Source organism: Homo sapiens, chromosome 7, assembly GCF_000001405.40.
Source record: "Homo sapiens chromosome 7, GRCh38.p14 Primary Assembly".
NCBI lineage: Eukaryota > Metazoa > Chordata > Mammalia > Primates > Hominidae > Homo > Homo sapiens.
In genome coordinates this window covers 4,223,969-4,250,148 of record NC_000007.14, presented here as the reverse complement: position 1 = coordinate 4,250,148, position 26,180 = coordinate 4,223,969, and the positions used below count along the sequence as shown (strand labels likewise).

Here is a 26,180-nt window from a genome sequence, read left to right as displayed (position 1 = left end):
ATACTGTACGATTTATTTAGATGAAATGTCCACATAGGCACACCTAGAGAGGTAGAAAGTAGCTTACTGGTTGCCAAGAGCTGGGGTTGGCTGCAGGTGTATGTGGGTGGTTTGGGGAGATTGAGGAGTGACTGCTAATCGGTACAGGGTGTTTTGGGGGCTGATGGAAATGTTCTAAAATTGACTGTGGTGATGGCTGCACAACTCTGTGAATGTACTGAAACCCACTGAATTGTGTACTTCAAATGAGTGAATTGTATGACATGTGAGTTAGGTCTTAATCCAGCTGTTTCAAACAGTGGTTCAAAGTGAATGTTACCATGTGAGCTGGCACTTCCAAAACGATCTAAGTCCCCGGTTCCCTCTGTTGGGATCCCATGAATATGGAGTGCCTTCAAATCCCCCAAATTCATAAGCTTCAAAAGCAGGATGCAGCAAGGTTACCTAGCAAAGAGCTCTACAGACAAGGGAGGCTACGCTTTATCCACTCAAAAACCTGGGGAGCACAGGATGGTCCAGGTGTGGGGATTCTTAGCTGGGACTCTATGGGATGCTAGCTGGTGGGGTCTGTAAGAGACTTCCGGGGTGCCTTGGGCCCCCAAATCCTAGGTGAAATTCTGCCTGTATGTAGGTGGAGAGCATGTCTGCACCTTTCATCAGCCTCCAGAAGCAGCCTGTCACCCAAAAGGCACTAGGAACCATGAGGTGCATTTGCAGGAACGCTTTCCTCCAGCACAGGGCTTGCCATGTGGGAGCAGTGTGGCCTGGTTCCCAGGCCCCTTGCCACCTCAGCCACGCTGCCTGAGACTCAGCTCTGAGAGCAGGACTGGTGGGAAGGTGGGATTTCCAGTTAGATGCTGAGGTCTGCCTCTCCAGTCCAGCTCATCAGTGCGTGTCTCAGGGAAGACATTCAAAAACTCTCAGTCTCGGCTTTCTGCCTGTTACATAAGGATGATAACACCCTCTGTGCAGAATTCCATTTAGTGTGGGTTCCATGTCCTGCCCTCCACCCTTCTTCCCCTATCCCCACACTCACCTCCCTCCCTCCCCACACTCACCTCCCTCCCTGAGGCCACCTCTGTGTATGTGTTTGTATTTAGGTGTATATGCATATGTGCAGGCATGTGTGCATGTGTGTATTTAGGTATGTATGTGTTGTGCATGTATGTACATATGTGTATGTGTGTATTTAGGTATGTATGTGTTGTGCATGTATGTACATATGTGTATGTGTGCATGGTGGTATGCATGTGTGCTTGTACTTGTATTTAGGTATGCATGCACGTGTATATATGCATGCGTACATGCATGTAGTATGTGTGAGCCATGTGCCTGTGTGCATGTGTTTAGGTATGTAGGTATATGTATGAGTATATGATGTATGTGTGCACATGCAAATTTTTGCATGTACATATTTGGGTATGTGCGTGTGCGTGTGTGTACATGTGTGCATGTATGTGTGTGCATGTATTCAGGTGTGTAGTTATTTGTACATGTGCACAGGTATGTGTACATGTGTGTGTATTTAGGTATGTGCATGTTTGTGTGTATTTAAGTATGCATGTGTGTGCATGTATTCAGGTGTATAGGTATATGTATGTGTTTGCATGTGTGTATGTGTACGTATGTGTGCATATGTGTATTTAGGTGTGTATATGTTGTGTGTATTTAGGTAAGCACGTGTGTATGCATGTGTGCATGTATTCAGGTGTATAGGTATACGTGTGTGCATGTGTGTATGTGTACATATGTGTGCATATGTGTATTTAGGTGTATGTTGTATTTAGGTAAACGTGTGTGTGCATGTATTCAGGTGTATATGTATATGTGTGTGCATGTGTGTATGTATAGATATGTGTGCGTGTGTGTGTATTTAGGTGTGTGTGTTGTGTGTTCTATTTAGGTATGCATGTGTGTATGCAGGTGTGTGCATGTATTCAGGTGTGTATGTGTCCGTGCACATGTGTGTACATGTACATATGTGTTCATGTGTGCATGCATACGTGAATGTATATGCTTAGCTCAGTTCACGGGTGTGCTCAATAATCTTCCATAAACATTTGCCGATGTTAAATCTCCAAACACGCCACATATGTTGGGGGGAGAAACAGACCAAATGCGTTCCATTAGCCCATGTTGAAAATGCTTTTAGGAACAAATATTCAGAGTTCACAGATCCAATCCTGCCCGCCTGCTCTAGGACACACCATCCCTGGATGCCTCCCTCCCCTTCCTCTGGTGTGGGGCTGGAGGAGACCAATGGGGAGGGAAGGGGTACACTGAGCTCTGGAGACACGGGGGTCTGGCTGGGTGTCAGCTTCAACAGCCGCCTGCTGGACAACCTCAGCCTCTGACCAATAAGGAGACTGGCCCCACCTCATGGGGCTGGGGTGGGCAGCAGAGGAGTGCACGTTCACCCTGGGCCAGGCCCACAGTGAGTGCTGGAAACACACAGCAGCGAGCGCTCAGCACACAGGAACCACCCACAGCTATGACACCCCCACGGTGCCTGGATACTCGAAAGAGCAGCGGCCCGGCAGCGGCAGCAGGGACAGGCCCGAGGCCGGCGCTGTGAGATGAGCCTCTTTGCTGACCAGACTGTCCTGCTCGAAGGCTGCCTGCTCCGCACAACCTGCTGCTTTCGTACATGCAGCGAGCTTCTGATAAGCTTTTTCTTTATCACAAAAAGGCAGGTAGTTTTGCAGGATTTCACTTGACAGCCCCTGAGTTTTAGACAAATGTCCCTTTCCGAGCATCTGCTTTGCTGCCTGCTGTTTCTGCCAAGCCCAAGGCTATGGTGCGGACAGCAAACCCGGCATCCTCTGTAAACAGAACACGCAAAGCAAAGCAGAATCGGCCTCACCACACCCACCTGCTGGCCCTTCCCGCCGGGAGTTCATCTACAACCCACAGTTGAAAAGAAGCCATTCGATAGAGCCCCGGGGCTCAATAAGGCCTGAATTCAGGTTAAAATGAAGGTGAGACTTATTTTAGATTAAATATTGATTTAGAACCTGAGTGCCAGGAGGCGGGGCAGGCCTATGTGTACAGCCAATGGTTGGTGATTTTCACCCCTCTCCAGGCCTGGCATATCCAAAAGAAAAAAGTTCAGGACCCAAGGGGCAACCTCTCCAATTGCTGCTTCTGCTGCTTTTGCTGGTAAGTATGAGAAACGGAGATGGTGCACCTGTAGGGAAGGTGTGTTGAGCCCCCTGCTTAGAGCCCCCTCGTGGCTGCCTTGCTGGTTAAAGTCCCTTTGGGTCACGCCGCACAGGACCTGGCACAGGAAAAACACTCCATGTCTCAACTGCTGCACACCCAGGCGCAGGGGAGGCCTGAGGCGGGTAGGCCCTGGGGTCCTGGAGGGAGCGCGTGGAGGCTGACACTCCCTCGGGGAAGCCATCTCCCTGGTCCAGCTGCTTGGTGAGGAGAGGAACACATCCCAAGTCTGGATTCACCCTGAGCCCGATACATGACCTGGAACTGCTGTGAGCAAATCCCTCTTCTTCAGCGCAAGGGAGGGAGCTAGGACAGAAGCTTCCTGGGCAGGGTGGGAGGCTGGCAGGGTGTAGGGGGAAACGAATGTCCAGGGGTGAGCAGGAAGCTCCTATCTGGTAAAGGGGTCACATTTTCTATCCGCCCTGCAGGATCAGACCCGCTGCCACCCTAACTGGGGTCTACAGACCACCAATTTTTATGGCAGCCTATGTTTATCTATGAAAGTGAAATGGAGAGAGAATGGGCCTCCGAGGCAGGAGTCCACACTGGGAAAGTTACTGATCTTCCCTGAGCCCTGCCGGCTCCATCTGTAAGAGGTGGTCTAGGCCCAGTTACCCCGGGACTACATGAGATGGAGCACGTGAAAGCGACCATCTGACACTCAGCCTGCTGGCACCCAGGCAACACCCACACTCTGCTCTGCAAGAAACCTCTCACAGAGGGCACCAGCCTTGCCTATCTCTCACTGCAGTCTCTGGGACTTAGGAGTCGGAACCTGCGCTTCCATCAATCAGCCTTGGAGCATCTAGACTGCTCGAAGCTGTGTGAGCTCTGCTGGGCCTAAAGCAGATCCCAGGACTTAGGAGTCACAACCTGCTCCTCCATGAATCAGCCTTGGAATGTCTAGACTGCTCGAGGCTATGTGAGCTCTGCGGGGCCCAGAGCAGGCCGTGGGGTTGAATTTCGGCTCTTTTCTCATCTGCATAATGAAGCCCTTTGTCCTTGGCTCTGCCTGTGGGGATGTTATGAGACTCAAATAGGACAAGACAGCCTGAGGGGGCAGAAGTCTCACTGCAGAAGTAGGGGCTGATGGTCACTGCCCGGAAGTAGGCACCGACACTGACCTCAGATTCTGATGCATCTGCCGACTTCTCCTTGAGGCTCACGCTCTCGGTCAGCACGGCGCCGTTGTACTTGTTGCAGATGTCCTCGTCTGAGTAGTGCAGGCCGCCGGGGCTAGGCCGGGGTGGGGACCTAGGATGAGGACCCATGCTGCAATTACCCTCTGGGCAAAAGACGCCCTTCCCCGGAGGACTCCTAACCTGGCATTTGGCCTTTATTGCGTTGGACTAAGAGGAAACCCACAGCCTTTGACATCACTTTGGCAACTGATGCAAAAAATTCTGAGCACTGGCTACCTGGTGAGTCAACAGCCTCTGTGTACCTGTGCCTGTCAGTTGTGGAGACTGTGCTAGGCCTGCAGGCATGGAGGAAGAGCTGGTCTGTGCCAGGAGGGGCAGTGAGACACTCACGTACAAACAGCACCCTGAGGTCGGGACAGATAGGAGGCCGGGGAGCTTAGGTGCTTGCCAGATGCAGGCAGGGGAGTGCAGTGGAGAGAGATGAGGATGGAGTCATGAGGAACAGTCTGATCTGCCATGCTAAGGAGTGGGAATTGTCTCCTACAGATGAGAGGGAATTGGGGAAGTTTGCACCAGGCCTGGTCTCCCTGTCTGGTGGGGGAGCATTCGTCCTCTCTGGCTGGTGGAATTCTAAGATGGCTCCATCACTGCCCCCACCCCCATCATCCCATCCTTTGAATGTGGGAAGGGCCTGTGACGTGCTTCTAACCAGTGGAACATGGCAGACTGAAGACTCGGTTACATTAAATGGAATGGGTGAAGGACAGCTACTCCCATCACGCCCATGATCACATGACATTAGGAGACCCTATCTTGGCGGACTGGAGACAGAGATGCTCTTGCTGGCCTCACAGAAGCCAACAGTATGTTGTGAACAGCCCCTGGAGAGGACCCCATGGCAGGGGACCATGAGCGGCCTCCAGGACATGAGGGCGGCCTCCAGAGGAGGGCCAAGAAGAGGCTGGGGCCCTCAGTCATGCGGCCACAAGGAAATGCATGCTGCCAGCAGGCTGAATGAGCTTGGAAGAAGATTCTTGCCCAGTTGAGCCTCCAGATGAGAACACAGCCCATCTACACCTGGATTACACCCATGCAAGGCCCTGAGCAGAGGACCCAGCTGAGCTGTGCCCAGACTCCTGCCCCAGGGAGACCGCGTGGTGCTAAATGGGTGTTGGTTTAAGCTGCTGAACTTGTGATCATTTGCCATGCAGCGATAGAAAATGAGTACCCTCTTCAGCTCCCCACTTCCTGGTGACTATCTGAGCTGAGTAAAAGCCCAGCTTCTGTTTTTCAGATGGAGAACTCAGAACTTGGGGAAAAACTCTGAGTACAACATTGCTGAATTTTCACATCAGGCAGGACTGAGTGCTCCTTAGTCCTCCGAAGGGTGTGCAGGGACTCGATAGTGAGAGCAGCCTGTGGGCAGTCAGACAGGCAGCTGTGTGCTCAAAGGGACCATGTCCAGGACCCCCAGCAACCCAGCAAGCCCTCCCTCATGCTGCGAGGAGTGAGTGCAGAACTGAGTGGCAGCTACAGAGGAAGTGTCTTCTCATCCCTCAATGGGAGAAGTAACACTGGGTGATCAAGGAGAGGCTACAGGCCAGGAAACCAGGCCTTGGGTGGAGACTCTGCTGGGAAGGCTGGAGGGGATGGAGACCTCTGGTTTTGTGTCGTGGGTGTTGTCTCCCCCAGGGTGTGCCTCAGTTTCTCCTGGAAAGGCCCAGTGAAGGCTCAAGGGCCTTTCTTTCTCTATCTCAAAGGTAATTTACTTTGGGAAAGATGCCATTTCTTATCTAAACATTTGGGTAAATCTTTTTATCTAAGGAGCTAAAATGGTGTCTTCCCCAAAAAGAAATTGGAAGCACAAACGTGCACGGGGGAGACATAAATCAACTGTGCCCGTATTTCTAAGATATTTTGGGGATGATGCTACAGGACCAATCTCAGGTGTCCCTGCCCAGACCCTTCCCCTCTCAGCAGAGAATCCTTTCCTTCAATCACATGTGGGGTCTGATATGGTTTGGCTGTGTCCCCACCCAAATCTCATCTTGAGTTGTGGCTCCCATCATTCCCATGTGACGTGGGAGGGACCTGGTGGGAGGTACTTGAATCATGGGGGCAGGTCTTTCCCGTGCTGTTCTCGTGAGAGTGAATAAGTCTCACACGATCTGATGGTTTTATAAAGGGGAGTTTCCCTACACAAACTCTCTCTTTGCCTGCCACCACGTAAGACGTGACTTTGCTCCTCCTTGCCTTCCGCCATGATTGTGAGGTCTCCCCAGCCATGTGGAACTGTGAGTCCATTAAACCTCTTTCCTGTATAAACTACCCAGTCTTGGGTATGTCTTTATTAGCAGCGTGAGGACAGATGAATACAGGGTCCTATTGCTAGGACTGAAAAGGTGATGGCTTATTTAAAAACCTAAGGGAAGGGTCCATTTTCTTTTCCATCTTAATTTTATTTTGTCCTTGGGTCTTTGTGGGCTGAGAACCTCCAACCTCACCATCAAATGATGTTTCTCTTTCCTAGGAAGCAGATGGACTTAACAAACTGAACGACTGTCTATTCTTGGGCAATGTGCTTCAAGGCTGTGTCTCTTCTCAGAACTCAGAAGACAGAGTTGCAGCAAGGAAGCAGGGCATGTAATATCTTAAAATTCTCTGTGACAAGTTCCTCCTGGCCTTGAAACTACATGTGGTTGCTTTTTCATGTTTCTATTACACGGCAGGAAAAACTTGCCTCCCAGTAGACAAATGAAATGAAAGGTGTGACCAGATGTCACCACCAGCATCCACCTCCAGCCCTTGGGAAGGCCTCGTGGGGTGGCGGCCTGCGGTGCTTTGGACTGGCACCTGTGGGGCTGGCAGAGCGTCAGTGGCTGGGAGAAGGCCCACCCGTGCCTCGGCGCCACCCGAGTGATCTAAGATTCCCAAATTCAGTGGAGGGCGGGGGCGGCCCAGGGAATCTCCAAACACTGCTGGCCCCTGCAGCTTTGTAAACAGTAAAGGGAAGAGGAAACCCTGGGGTCTGTCTGGGTCTGGATGATGTGTGATTTCCACACCCTTGCAGCTGAGTCTAATCCAAGGTGAGTCTGGCTGAGGGAGAGAAGCCTCCTCCACCCCGATGCTGGGGCACCCTGGGAAAGCCCGGAGCTGTCTGTTCTCCAGACGAAGCGTCCTCAGGTGTTTGGGTTTTTCCTTCCAGACGCTCAAGACCCCTCCCCATTCCTGGCCCTTCTCCTTGGTCAAGGGTACTCAAATCAGAGGATGGCGCTCTGCACATCAAAAAGGCAAACCCAGGTCAACCCCTCTCTTGTTTGGGAAACCCTGCTTCCTGCTGGATTTAGGAAAAGGATTATAAGCTAAGGAGGCTATGGTGATGAAAATCCTTCTCGCCTGCACTCAATCCGTGTATGGAATGGCAATGTGTATCGGCACAGGAAAACTTTGGAATACACAGAGCAATGAAATCAGCAACAAGCACCAGGCTTGCTTGCGAGGACACCTGGTCGGGCCTGTGGCAGCCCAGGTGACACCTCCATGAACTAGGAACGCCCAGATCCAAGGTGCATGCGATTGACACAGAAGGCCAGCCTGGCAGCCCCTGGGTGTTCCAGGCCCTTCCCACACACCTGAGACCCTCTTTCTAAATCTCCGGAGATGTCCTGAAAATATTTCCAGCCGCTCTGCCGACCCCGTCCCTCCTAGACTCAGGGCTGCCCCTGGTGGTTTGGGAGCGCACTTGGCGGTGGGTTGGGTTTTGCTTCCTGGAACCACAGGGCGGGATGCAGGAGGTGCCAGTGGGCGTGGGCTGCCACCCCAGCCCTGGCAGCTCAGATCCCCAGGTGGGCGCAGCACAGCACTGCCTGCCTACCTGGTCCCGTTCTTCTTGGAGAAGGTGCTCTTGACATTGAGGTGGCGGCTGCTGAGCTCCAGGGCAGCAAATCCTCCGTTGTCCAGGGTCACAGACTCCTCCATGGTGGAGATCCCCTTTCCTAAAGCCCAGCAGGAGAGTGAGAACAGACGTGTTACTGGTGTGGCCACCGCAGCCACGCCAAGCCAGAGCTGGCCAGCGGGGCAGCTCCTGAGTCCTGCTGCACGCAGAGCCCAGAGCTGAGGATACCTGCTTCAGCTGTGCTTAGGGCTGAGCTGGGGAGAAGAGCTAGGTACTGATCACAGTGTTGGAGCAAAGTGACAATATTAGCATTTTCATATTTGTTCTGTCTGATCCCAAAATACCAGTATTCTTGCCAGTGTTTTATGAAAATAGACTCAGAATGCATAAACTTTTTTTGATTTTTTGTTTGTTTGTTTTGGTAGAGATGGGGTCTCGCTACGTTGCCCAGGCTGGTTTCGAGTTCCTGGGCTCAAGTGATCCTTCCACCTCGGCCTCTCAAAGTGCTGGGATGGCAAGCGTGAGCCACTGCACCTGGCCAAGAATGCATACACTTCTAAAAATTCCGGGAAATTAAATATTTAATAAATTTCAAAATAAAAACTCACACTCATTTAACAAAACAGGAAGTAAAGATAAATGTGTGGGAGTGTGACGGCTAAAGAAAGGGTACAGAGCTTCCTTTTGAGGTGACACGAACGTTCTAGAACTGACTGTGGTCATGACTGCACGTACCTGTGCGTTCACCACTGAACCGCACACTTCAAAAAAGAGTAAATTTACAAATACATAGCAAAACACATTCTAAAATATATTAACAGATCAAATGAATAAAAATAAAGTTCTGAAAAACCGAACAACATAAAAAATAATTGCACTGGGTTTTCCCGGCTCATTCTGCAGGAAAGACCAAGGCCTCCAAACTGCCCCCAAGCTTGGCCTGGTCTGTCCACCCTGCAAACCCCCGCGTCATCTTCCAGCCCTCAGCCCCTCCCTAACACGGGTTTCTCCCCCTGGGGCTCTCCCTCTTGCTGGAAGCTCCTTCTCCCAGTATTTCCCGGGTTTCTCTCCCCTTCCTGCAGATCACAGCTCAAACGCCCTGAGACCAGAGGCGACCTCCCTGACCACATAAAGTGACCTCTGTTTCTCAGGCCCATGTACATATTTGCTCTTTGAGGTACAGACTTAAGTCCATCACACTCCCCAGTGTCCCGCCAGCCCCCAGGACAGCGCCTACACACATACCAGGGGCTTGGCAGGTATTTGCTAAGTGCGTTGGCATTTCTAAACCCCAAGAGGCTCCTCTCTGCTGGGACCTGGCCCCCCTTTGACGTGCTTTAAACCTTAATGCTCTGTGTTTAACGGAAGAACACAGAGCAGAAAATGAAAGATGGGCTTGCCTGGGAGAGGGGATTTGGGATGATGGGAGGTGAGCAGGTGGAAACCAAGATCAGAAAGGAATTCAGACGAGGATGGGAGGATAAGGAGTGCACGCAGGGAGGGGTGTCGAGTGAGGCCATCACAACAGAGGTTTAAGTTCTGCAATGTCTCCTGGGCAGGACGGGAGACATTCTGGTAGATAAGTGTTATTTTTTCCCGGCTTCAATTATGATGTTAAATTAACACTCCAGGGTGCGGCTGAGCATCGGAAGCTGCAGGTCCGATCTGCCTTTTCAAGTCTGTTTTCCAGATGGAGGAGGACAGTGAAAAGCAGGGAGATTTTTCTATGCACCAGACACAGGATTCTGTAATAGCATTAACTCAGGAAAATGACACGCCATTCATACACTGTAAATCCCTCAGGAATAAAATCTGATTTACGAACACTTGTTAGAAGTGAATTTATACAGAAAAAAATAAATCCTTTCTTTGAAGGATGAATTGCTTAACATTATAGAAGCAAATAAGGAGGCATTTTAGGTGACTGGTTTTTTTAACCCCTTTGGCACAAGGATGGTAGGACTTGTGGTCGGGGTCAGGAACCTACTCTGCCTGGCTCCTTGGCTCAGGGGGCTAATGTAGCCAGCTCCTCTTTTTAAGAACAGCTCATCAGGGATCTGCCTTTCCAAAAAGAGAAGACCCAGTTGATGGGAAAACCTCCAACAAATGAGCTGAGCTCAGGAAGAGGTCTGGCCCAGCGGTTGTGGTGATATCACAGAAGTGACCACATTCCTGGGCTCAGCTACAGCTCTGGTGGATGCTCCGTAGGATCAAAACAGGCCATAGGCCGGGCGCCGTGCGTGGCTCACTCCTGTAATCCCAGCACTTTGGGAGGCTGAGGTGGGAGGATCACCGTAGCCCTGGAGTTCGAGACCAGCCTGGCCAACATGGTGAAACCCGTCTATTTAAAAAACAAAAAACAGGCTGCGGTCTAGCAGTCAGTTACATTCTGGTTATCCAGAGAAGTGGTCTCATTGATAATTATGAGGTTTTTAAAATTGACGATAATCAAATGCACAAGCTATGCTAATCTTAAGTGTCCAGAATGATGCTTTATGATTGTGAATGTAACTACCGTCCACGTAGAGAGACAGAGCACATTTAGCACCTGTGAGGTGCTCTCATGCATCTTCCCTGTTTATACCTCTCCACCAACAGGCAAGCAGGATTCTGCCTTCTGGAAACTTCCATTCACTGTGGGTGTTCCTGGCCTTCATGTAAATGGAGTCACAAGGTCTGTGCTCTCTGTGGCTGGCTTTACCCTACGTTCATTTGCTCCTTTCTCTAATGATAGTGGGTCATTCGGCAATAAATGCTTATTGACTGAATGCTTGCTCTATGCCTGGTGTGGAGTTTCTGCTGGAAACACAGTAGTGACCTGGCCCTCAGACGGCTCAGAGCTAGACCACGGACACAGGCAAGGTTCAAGCTGCAGTGGGTGAGAAGAGCTATGCCATGGAGATGCTTCTGTGACAGTCTCTGAGCCACAGCAAAACATCAACGTCTGAGCAGTGCCCCAGGTCACTGTGTTTATAATATTGCATAGTACAATATGCCACCTGTTTAATGCTCTATACTTTTTTTTTTTGTAAGAGACAGGATCTCGGCAGGGCGCGGTGGCTCACACCTGTAATCCCAGTACTTTGGGAGGCTGAGGCAGGTGGATCACCTGAGGTGAGGTGTTCGAGACCAGCCTGACCAACATGGAGAAACCCCATCCATATTAAAAATACAAAATTAGCCGGGCGTGGAGATGCATGCCTGTAATCCTAGCTACTGGGGAGGCTGAGGCAGGCGAATTGCTTGAACCCAGGAGGTGGAGGTTGCAGTAAGCCTAGACTGCACCATGGCAACAAGAGTGAAACTCCATCTCAAATTAAAAAAAAAAAAGAGACAGGATCTCGCTTTGTTGTCCAGGCTGGAGTACAGTGGTGTGATCATGGCTTACTGCAACCTGGATCTCCTAGGCTCAGGTGATCCTCAGCCTTAGCCTCCAAAATCACTAGGATTACAGGCATAAGCCACCATTCCCAGACACACCTCACTTTCTAATACTATTAAAAAATGTGATTAGGTTGGGCACCGTGGCTCACGTCTGTAATCCCAACACTTTGGGAGGCTGAGGCGGGCAGATCACCTGAGGTCAGGATTTCGAGACCAGCCTGGCCAACATGGTGAAACCCCGCCTCTACTAAAAATACAAAAATTAGCCGGGCGTAGTGGCAGGCGCCTGTAATCCCAGCTACTCAGGAGGCTGAGGCAGGAGAATCACTTGAATGCAGGAGACAGAGGTTGCTGTGAGCCGAGATTGTGCCAGTGCACTCCAACCTGGGTGACAGAGTGAGACTGTAAAAAAAAAAAAAGCAATTGCATTTGAACAAAGGTACAGAGTGGGGATCTCTGAGGCTGGATGACTCATACGCCCTTATCCAAGACACATAGTTAATCTGAGGGCAGGCAGGGTCAGCATCTGGGTCCCGAGGCATAGAGCGTTTGCTGCACTGTGCCTGGCTGCCCCCAGAAAGAAAACCTATTGCATTTCTCTCAGCACCTACAAGCAAATGAAATGGAAAAGCAGACACGGGCCCGGCAGATCCACGAGAGAACGAACGCTATGTTTTGGCTGAGTGGCATCGTGGGACACGCGAGGAAGGGGCTGGACCTGCACCTGTGCTGCAGTTCTTATACTTCTTATTCTGCCCGTGCAGGACGAGGGCGAACACCACCAGCAGGATGACGATCAGGCTGGACAGAGCCATCACCAGGAGGAACCACCACTCCTCGTAGAATGGGGCTTCCACTTGAGCTGTGGAAAAGACACGGACACACAATGACATGGGGCAGACGCTCCAGCTGCAGTCACCTCCCGCGAGTCAGGTGGTTGGCAGGGAAGGCTGGGGTAGATAACTCCCAGTTACAGGTGAGATGAAACCAATGTCCAGCCGGGCGGGTGGACTTTTCCCATGGGACAAGCTCAGGAGGCTCCCATGGTCCTCAGCAGGCTTTGGGAATTCAACAGCCCCCATTTGCCACCTTTTCTGTGGGATCAGGCTCAGGGCTCCTCTGTCCTCCAAGCTGCCCCCTGCCCTGGAGACTTCAGTATCTTTGTCCTTGCCCTGACCTTGCCCATCAAAACCGCCCTTCCTGCTTGCTTTCTCTTAATTTCATCTGTTTAAAAACACTGCCTGATCCAGTGCAATGTAGTGAGATCCCATCTCTAAAAAAACAAAAAACAAACAAAACAAAACAAAACAAAAAAACAGCCAGGCACAGAGGCGTGTGCCTGAAGTCCCAGCACTGTGGAAGGCTGAGGTGGGAGGATGGCTTAAGCCCAGGAGTTCAAGACCAGCCTGGGCAACATAGCAAGACCCCTTTCTCTACAAAACAAGGTATGGTGGCACACCTGTAGTCCCAGCTACTCAGGAGGCTGAGGCGGGAGGATCACTTGAGCCCAGGAGGTCGAGGCTGTAGTGAGCCACGATCACAGCACTGCACTCCAGCCTGGGTGACAGAACAAGACCCTGTCTCCACAAAACAAGCAAGGCAGCAAACAAAAACGTTGTGTGGGTTAAAGTGAGGATGGAACAAAGCGCCTAGACGTCCTTCTCTCTCCTGGTGCTGGGACACCCCCCAAAACAGCTCCAGGTCCCCTGCCTTCTCCGTCACCACCTCCTGCCTGCGCACAGCACTCACATTCCACCTGTTACGCCTCCTCCTGTCTTGCTCAGATCCATCCTTTACATCACCCAAGAGAGGTCTTCCTCCGATAGAAATCAGTTGTCCCCCCTAAAATCCTCAGTGGTTCCCAACAGCCACGGGGTGAACCCTGAGCCCACGAAGCACCCCAGGACCTGCCGTCTGCACGTCTATGGAAGCCCCCGCCGCAAACACGCACTGTGTGTATTTGCTTCTCTACCTGTTGGCCCCTCCACAGGCCACAGACCCCTAAAGCCTGGGGCTGTGTTTTATTTATTTTCTGCCTCTAGCAAAACCAAGCTGAACGACTGGCCCTGTCTTTAGATGTGTTTTTGAGAAATCAATAGAAAAAAATGCATGTAAAGGCGGCTTTGAAGGACGCTCTTCTTCCTTCTGTCTCGTTCTGCTCGCTCAGAACAGAAAAGCGGGAAATTGTATCTTGATGGGTGCTGGGTGGTCCCGGCGTCCCATTCAGGGCCTTCCATGGGCCTGGAAGGGGAGTAGGTTCTGTGGCACTGGAAGCCCCCCAGAACAGAAAGCCTCTCACAGGCAAAGCCCAGGCATTGGCTCACGGCAGCCAGAACCCTTCCAAACACAGCCACCCGAAGCTTCTATCCTATATCTCACGAATAGGGGATGTGTGCACACCGGGAAGAAGAACAGGGAATCGGCTTTGGCTAATGCAGGTTCACAGGGCTCCTTAGGAGGTGACGGTGCTTTAAATCCAAAAGACAGAAGTAGGTTTGTGGGCTGCGCATTTGGTACTCCATGCGGCAAGTCTGACGCATGCCACACTTACACCACCGGGCAACTGGCCCGGAGTGGGCCTGACCCCAGCACCTGGTAGGAAAGGAAGGCCGGGCTGTCCTGGAGGACTCTCATACGGGGCAGGACACCCTGGCTGCGGGCCTGGCCCGGTCCTGACGCCAGCAGGTGATGGTTGCTGGCTTCCCTGAAGGACTGATGAGCTCAGTGCGGTCCAGCTCATGGCAAGGCCAGCTCTGCGTCTGATGGAGTTTCAGAGAGGCCTGAACCACAGGCCCTGGGAAGTGGGGTCAAAGTGCACGTTCCGCATGAGGAACCGGCTTTCTGTGCATGTGTAATTGCTCTGTACCAATTTTCCACAGATAAAACTCAGGCAGTAAATCTTGGATCTCTGAATTAGGATGAGGGGTGCTGAGGGTTCCTCATTCTCTATACTTTGGGGTACATTTAAAATATTCATAATTAAAATTAGGGAAATGAGAAATCTGTGCTTTTTCTAAATCTTACTCATTAAAAAATCAAGTGGTCAGCTGGGCGCCGTGACTCACTCCTATAATCCCAGCACTTTGGGAGGCCAAGGCAGGCGGATCACTTGAGGTCAGGAGTTCGAGACCAGCCTGGCCAACAGGGTGAAACCCTGTATCTACTAAAAATACAAAAATTAGCCGGGCGTGGTGGCACATGCTTGTAATCTCAGCTGCTTGCGAGCTGAGGCAGGAGAATCCCTTGAACCCGGGAGACGGAGGTTGCAGTGAGCTAAGATCACGCCACTGCACTCCAGCCTGGGCAACAGAGTGAGACTCCATCTCAAAAAAAATAAAATCAGGTGGTCCTCTGGGTCCCTTCCTCACAGCCCCTCTCACAGAGCAACCCCGGAATTCAAGGATGTTCCCAGGCCAGGGTACCAGGCTTAGGGCCCACGCTCACCCACAGACGAGCACAGGGTCGTTCCTCCAAACTCATAGCACATAAAGGACGAAGGTTAAGTTCAATTTCAACAAGTGCAGTCAGTAGCTCAAGCAGCTCTAACGCAGAGGAGAGGAACAGCTTCTTCCTAATCCCAGGAAGAGGACCAACAGAGCTGGCCCTACCTGGGGCTTCTGGCTGAGGCTCTGCTGCCCCAACGCCGAGGCCTCCCTGCCCTTCATGCTGCTGAGATCCCCTCTCCTCAAACACAGCCCATCCCTCTCTGAACCCCCCAGCGCCCTGGCTTGCAGCCGGTCTGCACGATAGAATCATCGCGGGGTAAAGAAAGTCACGCCTGGAGCCACGGAAGTCACTGTCTGGGGTGAGGGGCCAGCGAGGGTGTGTGTTTAACTTTCTCAAGCAACCCTAAGGTGCGGCCAGGGTTGAGTCCCTCACAGGCACATGGGGGGCTGGGGGGCCACAACCAGGGACCAGCTTTGCCGGCCCTCCCTCTCCAGCTCCCCCACCCACGGCTCTTCAGTGACCAGGACTTTTTCTCCGCCACCTTCTGCCTCCTGCAGGTTTCCCTTCCCCTGTGGTAGGCTTTGGGCACCTTCCTGATTCCCAGGCGAGGTCACAGCCCCCACCCTGTGTGTCATAACCCCTGCCATGACTGCTGACTGCAGACATGTCTGTCATCTAACACGGGTGCTCTCGGGGAGGAAGCCCTGCCCTGGCCTTCTCTGCCACTCCCCTGAGAGCAGACCTGGACCTGGACCCAGGGTGGCCTCTGGAGCCTGCGGTACCTCACAGCGAAGGTGTGCACGTGAAGAAATGCCCAGCCTGGGATCGGCAGTACCTTCACCTGCACGCCATCCTCAGGGACGGCAATACTGCTCACCTTGAGCCCAGAGCAGCTACTATCCCCGGCCCCTCCGCTGGCTTTCTGGGAGGTCCCAGGAAGACGTGACCTCTTGTCAGGCACTCGTGGGCTCCCCCATAGCTGCCGGGGTGGTTCTTGCCCCTCCAAAATCACACATGCTCCTCGGCAAGGATGCGTCAGCTAACACAGGGGATCGGGGCTCTGCTTTCCTTGCGAATGATTTTGTTGCGGAGGGGACACCACGTGGCTCATGCTCACACCTCTGACACTTCCATGTGTCTCTGATTTTTAAAACTATGAGGAAACACATTAGGAATTGCCGGTGCACAGCGTGGACACAAAGCCCATAAGGGGCCTTGCTGGTGGTGCTGGGGGAGGCTCTGGGGCCTGGGGTCCTGCCAGAGGGAAGCAGGGAGCAGCCCAGGAGGATGGGTGGCACTGGGGAGGCACCCGGAGACTGGCACTGCTCTCCCCACCCACATGTTCCCTGGGCAGAACCTCAACTAAGCTGGAGACACCTACAGCAGCAGATGTGTGTCCCTTTCGTCCCGCTTGACTTCATTTCTCTCTCCCGTCCTTCAGGAGAAGACAGACCTCCCAGGGTCCCCCTCGACCCCATTTCTCCCTCCCATCCTTCAGGAGAAGACAGACCTCCCTGGGTCCCCCTCGACCCCATTTCTCCCTCCCACCCTTCAGGAGAAGACAGACCTCCCTGGGTCCCCCTCGACCCCATTTCTCCCTCTAGTCCTCCAGAAGAAGACAGACCTCCCTGGGAGGGCCTACCTGACACAGCCGTGGAGGGGTTGCTGGGCTCCCCGTAGCCCGCCTCATTCACAGCCACCACCCGGAACTCGTAAGTCACTCCTTGCCGGAGCTTATCCAGGCTGAGGGTGTAGGATGTGGCGCTCCGCGGGATGTCCTTCACAAACATGTCCCATAAGCCTTCATCTGCAAGAGGGATGGGGAGGCGAGAGCAGAGGTTAGAAGTGCGAAGTCCCAGATGCGAGCCCCATGCACCTGCCTGGTGGGTCGGCTTGCAGCAGCCCTGGATGAGGCATCAGGGGCACTGGATGCGGAGTGAGTGCTGAATGGGGACGGAGTCTCAGTTTCGCAAGTCGAAGAGCGTTCTGGAGATGAATGGTGTGATGATTGTAGAACAACGTGCTCAATGCTACTGAACTGGACACTTGAAATGGTCATAGTGGGAAACGTTAGGTTATGCATATCTCCCCACAGTAAATATATGTATGTATGATTTATTATAAACCTCACATATAAGAAAACATGAATAAACTCAAAATTAAAGCCATTAATAAATTTAAAATTAAAATCAGACATAGAGAGGATGTTAGAGGCACATGACTTGGGTTCTGAGGCATCTCTCCAGCCACAGAGCAAAAGAAATGTGATCAGTGAGATTTGTTGTAAAGAATCACGATGAGCCAGGCATGGTGGCTCATGCCTGTTATCCCAGTACTTTGAGAGGCTGCGGTTACAGGACTGCTTGAGCCCAGAGCTGGAGACCAGCCTGGGCAACACAGGGAAACATATATATGCACAATTTTAAAAATTAGCCAGGCATGGTGGCATGCACCTGTGGTCCCTACTACTACTCAAGAGGCTGAAGCAGGAGGATTGCTTGAGCCTGGGAGGTTGAGGTTGCAGTGAGCTGAGCTGAGATTGTGCCATTGCACTACAGCCTGGGTAACAGAGTGAGACTCTATCTCAAAAAACAAACAAAGAACTTTGCAATTTTTATGACTTCACATTATAACAAAAAAAAAAAAAAAAGAAAGAAAAGAAAAGAAAAGAAAAAAAGAAAAAAGGAAAAAAAAAAAGAAAGAAAAAAACTTATGACACTATAGCATCAGGGCTGAAAGGGGTGCTGGAGCCTGGAGCTAGACAGCCTCTTTGCAAAGCCTGGCCCCACCAATTCAATTAGCTGTGTGGCTTTAGACAAAGAACGGAACCTCTCTGACCCTTGTCTGTAGAATGGTGATAACAAAGGCATCTTCATCATAGATTTGCTTTGAGGATTAAGTAAGTTAATATTTATAAAGTGCTTAGGACAGTGCCTCACACATAGTAAGTGCTGTACGTGTGTTTGTATAAATTCAATTCTAAGGAGGCTGTTTGGTTAAAAAAAAAAAAAAAAAAAAAGTAGGCTCAGAGGCCAAAATGTTCATTTGAAGTAGCAATCCTTCATGAACTGTATTTGCTTTTCTAGGTGCAGCTATGAGATCTTTTACAAAGCAGGGAATCTGGTGAGGGAAAACCCATTTGGATATGTGTGTACCCGTGCTGACTACTTTATGGGCACTGAGACTGCTCCGGAAACCAACCTTATCACCCACCCGGAATCACCAGGTACACTCAGATGGATTAGCCCAACAGTAAATAGGCAGAAAATTGCTATTGTATCTGTCTGTATTTGCAGAGGATTTAGAATGTGCACCGACTAAGTCCTTACAGTCACAGGTTAATGAGGAATAGACGTGAATGAGATTTTAAAGGTACAAATCTCTCCACCGGCAGAAAGGTAGTATAATACTGATCTTCCCTCCCTCCCTCCCTCTCTGATTGCTTTCTCTCTTGCTCTTTCTTTCTTCTTCCTTTCTTTTTTTTTTTTGAGACCGGGCCCTCCTCTGTCCACACAGGCTGGAGTGCAGTGGTGCAATCATAGCTCACTGCAGCCTCAAACTACTGGACTCAAGTTATCCTCCTGCCTCAGTCTCCTGGATAGCTGGGTCTACAGGCATGCGCCACCACGCCTGGCTAAGTTGTTAATTTTTTTTTTTTTTTGTAGTGACAGGGTCTCCCTGTGTTGCCCAGGCTGGGCTCGAACTGCCGAGCTCAAGCCATCTGCCTGCCTTGGCCTCTCAAAGTGCTGGAATTATAGGCATGAGCCACTATGCCTGGCCATTATTTCTAAATATTCTCATTTACAGCCATTTCTCACCAAGACACTCATCACCACTAATAATGTCAGAATGGCAAGCCAGAGCCTAAGCCTACCTTCTTTCTCCTAGGATGCTGAGGTTCACACACAGATTGCTGGCTGTATGTAGTTTATGCTGGTTGTATGTGGTTTATATTGTCGTATGTGAGTTTGGCTTAAGAATGGTCAGGGAAGGCTTGTGCATTTACTCTGTTCAGGCCTCCTCTGGACCTGGAGAACTGTTGCCCCCTCCTCCCCTGCCTCACTCCCTTATTCATCCACAAATGCGGTCTACTCTTTGATCAGACCCTGTGCCATCCATCAGGGAATCAGATGAGATTGCTGTTCTAATGACTTACGCACAGCCTGTGGACAGGGGATGGAGGAAAATCAAGAGTCCTTTTGCCCCCTCAGACTCATCTTTTTGAGGTCAACCTTGACCCCACCCCACGTTCCAGGAAGGGATGACTGCTTCCACCAATGGGCTTCTAAATCACATCAGCACATTTACCTGGCTGTTCACACCATCAGGCTTAGCATCATCCATCCACCCATCCATCCATGTAACCATCCATCCATTCCATTCTTCCTTCCTTCCCTCCAGCTATCATCTATCCATCCATCCTTCTGTCCATCTTTCCATGATCCATCTTCCTAAGTAATCATCCATCCATCCATTCATTATCCATCCATTCATCCTTCCTTCTATCCATCCATCCATTTTTCCTTCCTTCCTTCCATTCATCCATGTAACCAACCTTCTTTCCTTCCTTCCCTCCCTCCTTCCTTCCCCCTGCCCTCCACTCCCCTTCCCTCTCCTCCTGTGCCCTCCCTTCCCTTCCCTTTCCTCCCCTTCCCTCCCCTGCCCTCCCTTCCCTTCCCTCTAGCCATCCATCCATCTATCCATCCAGGCATCCATCCATTCATTCATCCATCCATCCATTCATCCTTCCTTCATCAATTCATTCATCCATCCACCCATCCATTCATCCATTCATCCACCCACTCACCCATCCACCTATCCATCTATCCATTCGTCCATCCATCCACACATCTACTCATCTACCTACCCATCAATCCACCCACCCACCCACCCTTCCTTCCTTCCTTCCATTCATCTATCCATCCACTCACCCACCAGCCACCCACTCATCCACCTCCCATCCATCTGCCTGCCCACCCTTCCTTCCTTCCTTCCTTCCTTCCTTCCTTCCTTCCTTCCTTCTGGGTCCCCCTCCTTCCATCCATCCATCCATCCATTATCCATCCATTCTTCCTTCCACCCATCCACCCATCTGTCCCACCCCCAACCCCTGCATTCCTCTTTGTATCCCATGGGCTTTCTCAGGGCCTAGTACAGCAGGCTTTCAATAAATAATAACCACCACTATTTTATTTACTGCTTACTGTGAGCAAGTCTCTATTTTAAGGGCTTTATATATTGAATGAATTGTATTTTTCCTCTAAAAAGATAGACAATTTTATGTTGTAATAGACACTAAAGACCAAATACAGACTCTTATAAACTGGGTGTTGCTTAAAGCCATTGAAATTAAGGGACTAAGAAAGTGAAGGATTTCTTCAGACTGTTCTGAGAAGGTCTGAACACCTCCGGAGTGGATTCTCTGAATGTCTTTTGCATTAATGTTTCTGTAATGCTTTCCTGCTCCTGAGGAAAAAAAAAATGATTCTCCCTTCCTGTACCATCACCTAAAGGCCACATTTTATTTTAAGCACTCTGTCATAGCTCCAGGAATTGTGTGCATTTTTCATAATAACATTTTAAAATATTGATACAGAATCTTAACGCAGAACGATTTATTTAGCAATCCATTTACACTCAAAAATGTTGGGTGAGGGGGAATGTCATACCGAGATAATTTCCTTCTGAATTAACAGAAGAAAATGTTCCCATTTTTATTCTGCTTACTTCTGCCTTTCCCAAATTAGCATATTTTCCACTCTAGCTATAATTCACCGGGCTACTTATCTCGTACTAATATTTACACCACGATCACGAGTGGGTAAGAAAAAAATTTGGCAGCTGGTAAGGCGTCCACTCTATTTCTCAACTGTGGATTGTTTTTCTCATTTGTATTATGCTGTTAAATATCTCAATAAATCAATGATGGAGAAAAGTATCTCTACAAATTAGGGGGAAAATAACATTACAGAACTATTAGCAAAAATGAGATTTATGCAACCAATTTTTCCATGTTCTGGACAGTCCCCAGTGCCTGGATTTCCATCTCAGTCAACACTCGAGAGGACAGCAGGGCCTCATCCTTTTTAAAGGCAATTCTGGGCACACAGTCAGCCACTTGTCAATCACCCAGGCTAGGGTCAGCTCTCTGGGATGTCCGGAAGAGCCAGCCTGGTTTCTCTTCCCCAGTGAACGAGCTGTGTTGCCGTTGTAGGAAAAGCAAGGGCCGGGTGCAGTGGCTCCCGCCTGTAATCTCAGCACTTTGGGAGACCGAGGTAGACAGATCACGAGGTCACGAGTTCAAGACCAGCCTGATCAACATGGTGAAACCCCGTCTCTACTAAAAATACAAAAATTAGCTGGGTATGATGGCACGCTCCTGTAATCCCAGCTACTCAGGAGACTGAGGCAGGAGAATCGCTTGATCCCGGGAGGTGAAGGTTGCAGTGAGCCGAGATTGCACCACTGCACTCCAGCCTGGGCAACAGAGTGAGACTCGGTTTCAAAAAGAAAAGAGAAAAGCAATGCCCGGCTGGAAGAGGACAGTCATGTCCCCTAAAAAGCCACATCCCCAGATCACTGATCCCCCAAAATGACTGATGCAGGCATCAAGTCCCCTGCTGAGGCCCAGGGTTTGAACTTCCTGTGGGTAATGTCCACCTCTGGGCTGGACCTGCCACTTCATGTCTGTGGAGGGCGGAGGTGCCCTCATGGTGATGTGACTGCAAATCACACCTGTCTATCGTGCTTGGTCTTTCATTCCTGGCTGCCCGAAAGAGCACCTTCCTGGACTCTTGTTACTGAAACGCCATTGGAGAAATACCACTAAGAAAGTGGGAAGCCACTGAGAAAGAGACTTTGCAAAATATTCCTGAAGAAGCCACGCTGTCACCACAACCTCCAATCCTGTCCACCTCAGAAGGAAGGCTGAGTGGGAAAAAGCAAGAGCCAGTTCAGCTTCCCATTGAGGCGGCTTTTCTTTAAAGAATATGAACTATGCATCTTCATTTTTTACGGCGTGATTTGTCCACTTAAACAAGGGAAGTAAGTGGCTAATATTGAAGATCCTTGAAAAAAGAAATCTTTTCTGTATAAATAGGTTCTGCTATCCATCCATGCTTGTCTCCAGCCGACAGAATGAGTCAGCTGTTAGCTTCTGGTGCCAGCATCTCCCCCCGCCCAAGCGGTAGGAGGCACATCTGTTCCCAGACAATGTCCTAATACACCCAGAAACATGATCACCTCTTTTCTGAATTGAGCTGGAGCCCAGCGCAGCACGTCGAAGGGTCTGCACTCAATTTATCCCTCCAACGCCCAGAACGGAGCTGCGTGCTGCAGGTATTAGGGCCGACGTCATGCCAATACAAAAGTTTGATTTCATGGACAATTAAACAGGGTCTCCATGCTGAATGAAACCGTCATTCACTGCCTGAGATTTCTGGTTCCACGCACTCACACAACCAACCGCTTGACTGTCAGTCTGCAGCTCAGAGCAAATGCAAGCCTGTCAGTTGTTTATTTCTTAAATACTGCCATTTCTTTTTGTATGAATGGCCAATCCAGGTTAGAAATTTTACTGAAGCTGGTGGCGCTTAAACATGAGGCTAAATACATCTGATTTAAAAAAAAGACAGTTACCTTCCATCGGATCCTCATTCAAGGCAGGAGGCAAAATGCATTGCATGTTAAGATGACGAAGAAAGCCCGTGTTGCAGGCTGATCCCAGGAAGGGGTGGGAAGCCGGGCTGACAAGCTGTCAGAAACACGCTTATGAGAAAGACAAGCAGCTTATGAGAAAGACAAGCAGCACATGAGGGGACCGGGCACCATCAGAGCCATGGCAACAGCCCCCTCTTGCTGAACCTGCTGACTTGGAACTTCTATGGATGTCAAACCTTCAGAGAAATACTGATTTTCTTCCTTACTCACTTGAAAACTCCCGTTGCCAAAGACTGAAATTGAACAAAATCAATGGGGAGGGAACTGGAAAGCCCCCAGGGGACTACGAGTGGACAGCAGTCCAGGCCTCCGGCTGGGGGGTGTCCCCATCAGGCACGGGACCTGTCCTCCAGCCACCTGCCCTCGTCTCTGGGCTACACACATTATTTAAGAAAAAAAAAAAAAATGCAATACAATATCTGCCTGCATTGGGCACATTCTAAATATGTATTTCATGGCTGCTTTGGAGAGGAAAATATATTTATAGTTCCTTTAGCGTCATTCCAGTCTATTGTGTAAATATGTAAATTAGGCTTCATGATCTACCCAGTAAAATGCCTTAGAATAATCTGTGTAAATAGATCATCTGCATATGTCCAGTGCATAGTTTCCAGTGCCTTCCAGGGAGTTTTGCAACACCAATTTGGAGGAAACTTACGCACAGCCAGAGAAAGGAACGTGTGGGCCAGGCCATGCTGGTGGAAGCTGGTGGCGGTGTCCTTGGGCTCACACTCATGGAGCGCCCTCTCCAGGAATAAGAGGGGATCTGTGTTCTAGCCTGGTGCTAATTTCATTAGCTGCTGCTCAGTTCTGCGTCTCCACATGGCCACAGCAACAGGGGCTATGCAGTAGAATGTGCGGGGGGTGTAAGGAAGGATGGGGATGGGAGGGCAGCACGCTCCACTACCATCTGCCCGGGCTGCCCAGGCCCGCTGGCCACCCTCTGCAAAGCAGCAACAAAGCTGATGAGTGTCTTGTCTCCCAGGGGCAAGGTAGAGACTCAGCTGGATAGAGAGACATCAGGCCGAGCCGACCACGTGGGCCAGAGGGGCTGCCTGGCACCGAGTGCCCGTCTCCCAGATACCCAGCGGTGAGGGCCCCTGTGTGGCCCCTCCCAATACAAAACGGGGCCCATTCATTGCACCTGGAGCAAACCACACCCCACCTGGAGAACGTCTTGCCAGGGAGCTTCGGTGGGAAAATGAGATGATACAGCATTTAATGTTTTGTGTAATGAGGCCTGTAATGGATGACAGCTGAGATCCAAAGCCCTCAGGTACCAGCAAGGTGCTTAAATATTGACAATCCATAAAGCGTTTCATTTGCCTGAGCTGCTGCTGGCCTTAATCATTGAAGGGAGGGGGCGTCTCAACTTCCCATGAAAGAACACGGGTCCCGCGGCCTGCTTGGGTTCCCTTCATGATCCGAAAGGGGAGATCGTTGGCGACCTGCTTTTGAATGTTGAGCAGCCAAGCAGAATTAAGTGCAGGATCTTCAGCCCTCGCCGAAAAAGCTGGGGTCTTCTTGATAAGTCTGTTGTCACATCTTGGTCCCCTGTGGGTCAGTTTCCACACACTGGCCCCAACCCTGCTGAGCTCAGACTCAGCTGACTTCAGAAGCTTCTCCATGTTAGGCAAGCCACTCTGAGGCGTGGGCCCAGTGTGAAGCCCTCGCCGACACGCCAATTACTTCTAATCCGCACGGCCTGCCAGGCTCCCTGGGCCGCACCAGTAACCAACAGGCGTCCTGTTCCCTTCGTGCAGCCGGCGGAGCAGCATATGAGAACCTGAGGAGAAAGTCAAGGGCTCTCTCGGCAAGCCTGAGAACCAATGCCTTATCGCTGCCTGGAAAATGCTGAGATGTGTTCACAGCGTTAAGAGGCTGAGCCCAGGCACCCGTGTCTGGCTGGTACCGCCCCATCCCACAGGCCGCTCTCCCACACAAGAGTGCTCAAAGACACATTGGTGTGCTTGTCCGAGCAGGCTGGGGAGGACGGACACCGTGGCTTTTTCAATGATTACTTGACGCTAAACATATCATTTTGAGGTAGTTGAAGAGTCCCAAGCGGTTGTAAGAAACAACGGAGAGCAAGTCTGTGTATCCTTTACCCAGTGTCCCCCAGTGGTAACATCCTGCAAAACTGTGCTGCAGTCTCACAACTGGGACATGGGCAGGGATGCGGTCGAGATCCAGAATGCCTCCTTCTGTGACCCTGTGACAGCCACCCATCTGCTGGGATCCTTAATCTGTAGTCAGGGAGGCAGGCGTTCAGGGAGGAGGAAGTTTCGTAGCCAGGCCCTTCTGTAGTTTTCTAGTGCGGGTGTCTTTTTTTTTTTTTTTTTTTTTTTTTTTTTTTTTTTGAGACAGAGTCTCACTCTGTTGCCCAGGCTAGAGTGCAGTGGCGTCATCTCAGCTCACTGCAACCTCTGCCTTCTGGGTTCAAGCAATTCTCCTGCCTCAGCTTCCCGAGTAGCTGGGACTATAGGTGCATGCCACCACACCCAGCTAATTTTTTTCTATTTGTAGTACAGACTGGGTTTCACCATGTTGGTCAGGCTGGTCTTAAACTCCTGACCTCAAGTGATCCGCCCACCTCGGCCTCCCAAAGTGCTGGGATTACAGGCTTTTTAATCTGCTCTCGGCACCATGGGTCCCTGTGGCGATCTGTTGGCTCAAGGACACTTTCTCAGAATGGTTGTAGATATATAAACTAAAATTGAAAAGGAAACCAATTCTACTGGTGATATTGTTTGGCTCTGTGTCCCCACCCAAATCTCAGGTTGAATTATCGTCCCCGGTGTTGGGGGAGGGGCCTGGTGGGAGGTGTTTGGATCACAGCAGTGGGTTTCTCATGAATGGTTTTAGGACCACCCCTTTGGTGCTGTTCTTACAATAGGGAGTGAGTTCTCATGAGACCTGGTTGTTTAAAAACGTGTGGCACCTCCCCACTCACTCTCTTCCTCCTGCCCCAGCCATGTGGCGTGCCGGCTCCCTGTTGGCTTTCTGCCATGATTGGAAGCTTCCTGGGGTCTCCCCATGATTTCCTGGGGCCTCCCCAGAAGCAAAGCCACCATGCTTCCTGTACAGCCTGCAGAACTGTGAGCCAACTAAACTTTTTTTCTTTATAAATTACTCAGTCTCAGACATTTCTTTATGGCAATGTGAGAACGGAGTCACAGAACTGGTAATGCCTACGATCACCTGGAGGCACCTGCAGGTTCCTGGGAACTCGTGTCTCCAGGTAATGCTGGAGGCATGGATTATGGGTGGTTTTCTTTGCACTAACTTGTTTAGCGACGTGGTTCCTTGGAAGACGTATGAAGAGTTGGGTTTAGGTGACCTGTGGCCACCGTTATCCCAGCACAACTCAAAAG

At 50.6% G+C, this 26,180-nt stretch overlaps 1 protein-coding gene across 6 annotated transcripts in view, besides 4 other annotated features; it reads right to left on the bottom strand.

Annotated features, from left to right (window-relative positions):
- The window catches only part of SDK1 (sidekick cell adhesion molecule 1), a 967,749-nt gene that overhangs the window by 18,852 nt on the left and 922,717 nt on the right, over nt 1–26,180 (bottom strand). For all 6 annotated transcript variants that reach the window (NM_152744.4, XM_047420038.1, XM_047420037.1 and 3 more), the window contains 4 exons: nt 16,730–16,894; nt 12,365–12,502; nt 8,236–8,356; nt 4,344–4,473 (listed from right to left, as the gene is read on the bottom strand). In NM_152744.4, coding sequence (NP_689957.3) covers nt 4,344–4,473; nt 8,236–8,356; nt 12,365–12,502; nt 16,730–16,894 — 554 coding nt within the window. The remainder of the gene's footprint in view (nt 1–4,343; nt 4,474–8,235; nt 8,357–12,364; nt 12,503–16,729; nt 16,895–26,180) is intronic.
- Nucleotides 9,595–10,096: an enhancer, noted in NCBI's record as "NANOG hESC enhancer chr7:4279685-4280186 (GRCh37/hg19 assembly coordinates)". NCBI's record gives its function as "activates a minimal SCP1, AML or CMV promoter by ChIP-STARR-seq in primed H9 embryonic stem cells {active_cell/tissue: H9 hESC(primed)}" and the evidence as "EXISTENCE:reporter gene assay evidence [ECO:0000049][PMID:30033119]".
- Nucleotides 12,461–12,962: an enhancer, noted in NCBI's record as "H3K4me1 hESC enhancer chr7:4276819-4277320 (GRCh37/hg19 assembly coordinates)". NCBI's record gives its function as "activates a minimal SCP1, AML or CMV promoter by ChIP-STARR-seq in primed H9 embryonic stem cells {active_cell/tissue: H9 hESC(primed)}" and the evidence as "EXISTENCE:reporter gene assay evidence [ECO:0000049][PMID:30033119]".
- Nucleotides 23,335–23,835: an enhancer, noted in NCBI's record as "H3K4me1 hESC enhancer chr7:4265946-4266446 (GRCh37/hg19 assembly coordinates)". NCBI's record gives its function as "activates a minimal SCP1, AML or CMV promoter by ChIP-STARR-seq in naive H9 embryonic stem cells {active_cell/tissue: H9 hESC(naive)}" and the evidence as "EXISTENCE:reporter gene assay evidence [ECO:0000049][PMID:30033119]".
- Nucleotides 23,836–24,337: an enhancer, noted in NCBI's record as "H3K4me1 hESC enhancer chr7:4265444-4265945 (GRCh37/hg19 assembly coordinates)". NCBI's record gives its function as "activates a minimal SCP1, AML or CMV promoter by ChIP-STARR-seq in naive H9 embryonic stem cells {active_cell/tissue: H9 hESC(naive)}" and the evidence as "EXISTENCE:reporter gene assay evidence [ECO:0000049][PMID:30033119]".